The 3,003-nt window shown below is 46.3% G+C and overlaps 1 annotated feature.

Moving 5' to 3' along the window:
* Positions 1,894-2,394: an enhancer, noted in NCBI's record as "H3K4me1 hESC enhancer chr15:62637231-62637731 (GRCh37/hg19 assembly coordinates)". NCBI's record gives its function as "activates a minimal SCP1, AML or CMV promoter by ChIP-STARR-seq in primed H9 embryonic stem cells {active_cell/tissue: H9 hESC(primed)}" and the evidence as "EXISTENCE:reporter gene assay evidence [ECO:0000049][PMID:30033119]".

Raw genomic sequence — 3,003 nt, forward strand, 5'->3', positions numbered from 1 at the left:
GAGATCACCCAGACATCAGGATGCTGGCACCCGACCGGCCAGCACGGCACTGGCCTGTTGGAGGCTTTGCCACTGTGCTGATGGGGCTGCGCGGGGTCCTGATCGGGAACCAGGAGCCCACACCCTCTGGCTGCTGCCGTGGCCAGAGGTCCCTTCAAGGGGCCGGAGGCCACAGAGGCTCATTTCTTCTTCCTGCTTTCACCTTCTATCAGTGCCTCTCGCAGGCAGACCCCCAGCAGAAGCAGCTGGCAGAAGGAGGGTCTTGGAAATGTAGTCTGGCTTCTGCCTCCACTGCTGCACTCCAGGCCTGCAACACCGAGGACTCCGCAGAAGAGGAGAGAAGGACCGCCGGCCCTTCCACACACACCCGGTGCCATCTGGTCCATGGCCATTTGCCTTGGCTGCCAGGAAAGCACCCTCCAGTCAGCCTCTCACCTGCAGTGGAGGATGTAAATGTTAACCAAAACCAACAGAAAAGAATGGAATATGAGCCACACCTGCACAGGTGCGGGCCGGCTCTGGGCCACACATGGCCAAGGTTGGCCTTACTGTTCAAATTGTCGGCCGTGGAATCCATGGTTAGGAAAACCTGATGCTTTATTTTGTTTCTTTAGCAACCATTCAGGATGACTTCCTTACATTTTTTCAATTTCGATTTGTTCTATATTTCCTAGGAGATAGGGCAGAAATATTTGACTCGAGTGCTACACAAAACAGGAAATTGCATTTCACCGGGTTTTATTATTGCTGGTTCCCTTTAGCTCCTAGTGCACTTCCAAGTCAAATGTCTGCCTTTGAACAAGTGGCAAATTTAGAGGTAATTCAGAGACATTTATTGACAGCCTGCTGCTACTGGCCTGACCCTAAGAATTTAAAAAGAAAAGGAAAGAAGAGAAAAAGAAAAAATTGACACAGTCCTTATCTTTAAGTAGCTTACAGTTTTGTTTAGGAATGAGGCTTCTGCACATGCAACTTGAAGAAACAAATAGAAACAGTATAACATATTCTACAGTTTTGAAGTCTGTGATGCAGATTCTAAGGATGACAGAACAGCTATCTCTAAAAGGATTATATTTGGAAGGCAAGGAGAGGGCAGGGCAAGTTCCTAGCATGAAGAACTCTGACAGCAAAAGAGAGAAGTGAACAGGCACCTGGGAGCTGGCAGTAAGATTGCTCAGCTGCCTGAGGGAAATGCAGGTCATATGCTTGAGGGTCTTGAACATCAGTTTGAGAAAATTGAACTTCATTCTAAAATAGCCAAAATGTGGTCACGAAAGCAATGACAATTATAAACCATGTTGTCATCATTCTGGTTTTATAAAATATCACATATAAGCAGCCTAAAAGATGCAATATTTTAATCAACCTGACTCTTAAGTAATTAAGTTCTGTAAGACTAATAATTAGGTGTTTATAAAATACTGATTCGTTAGGTATTAGAGAGCAAATATTTTATCTTATACCTCAATGTATTTTTTTCTCCTAAAATACAAAGTATAAATATTCCCCACTCTGTGACTCCATTTGATTCCTGAGTAGGGGAAGTGAGATTAGATAGAGTGCTGTCCATTTCTATGTGGCCCCTAAATTCTTGAATTAGGAAAGCAAGGGATTCAAGCTCTAACTCAAAAATGTATCCCATTGTCTTCCGTCCCTGAATGCATATGGGGAGGGTTAAGAAAGCAAAGCTGGTCTATACCAAACTTTCCAGGGCTCCTTCCCTCCTTCCATTCCCACCCCCACTTTCCTCCCTGCTCCCCAGGGCCTGATCCAACCTGCCCGAGTAAATAGCCAAGGCCCCAATCCAGGTCAGCATCTTCTATCAACTGCTTTTAGGTGGGGAAGCTGATAATCAAGCCTTCAAACCCACCTGCTACTCAGGCGCGCGCGTGCGCGCACACACACGTACATACGCACGCGTGCGCGCGCACACGCACACACACACACACACACAGAGACACACTCGTTCTGTTGTTAACTTTGAGAAGAGTCCCTCTAGTGGCCACCTGTACAACACCCTGTGGGACCCAGATGTCGCTGAATGGCTGACATTGGTAGGTTTCCTCACAGTGGCTACCTACACTTTAGGTTTTCTGAGTGGGAGAGGTGGGAGAGGAAATGAAGAGTCGGCTTTAGCCAGATTGTGAGGACTTTTGTGGCTGGACTAAGGACTTTGGCCTTTTCCTTATAGCAATGTGAGATGTTGGGCATCCAAAGTTTTAGAGGAGACAGTGAAGTGATCAGTTCTCGATTTAATAAAGACAATGCTTGCCTTCAGTACTTGGGTGACTATCAGAGGGTAAATGATGATAATGAAGTAGCTAGCTTAAGACAGAAAAAGTAAGCCATAAAAATAAAATAAAATAAAATAAATAGGTCCGGGCGTGGTGGCTCAGGCCTGTAATCCCAGCACTTTGGGAGGCCGAGGAGGGTGGACCATGAGGTCAGGAGTTCAAGACCAGCCTGACTTAACATGGTGAAACCCCATCTCTACTAAAAATACAAAAATTAGCTGGGCGTGGTGGCGGGCACCTGTAATCCCAGCTACTCAGGAGGCTGAGGCAGGGGAATCACTTGAACTCAGGAGGTGGAGGTTGCAGTGAGCCAAGATCGCACCACTGCACTCCAGCCTGGGTGACAGAGCAAGACTCTGTCTCAAAAAATAAAAATAAAAATAAAATAAATGGAAACATCTTTGTATGTGCCTGGCTCAGTGCGAAGCTAAGAGGAAGGCGCTGCACCTCCTCATTTACCAGGCTGAGGGGGGTAGGTACAGAAACTGGCATAAGACCTCTTAAAATGCTATGCTCTCCACTGCCTCCTCAATCCCCAAGGACAGTGTGTCTCCTTCTCCATCACCGCTCTCCCACGGTTTGAGACAGGGACATCTGTGTAAATGGAGATCAAGGACAATTGAAAAGGGAAGAAAACAGGAAGTTACCACCAAAAGACACTGAGGACCATATAAATTAGGATTAGTAAGTTCATCTCAAAGAAAAAATT

The sequence above is a fragment of the Homo sapiens genome, chromosome 15 (assembly GCF_000001405.40).
Source record: "Homo sapiens chromosome 15, GRCh38.p14 Primary Assembly".
In the NCBI taxonomy this organism is placed as follows: Eukaryota; Metazoa; Chordata; class Mammalia; order Primates; family Hominidae; genus Homo; species Homo sapiens.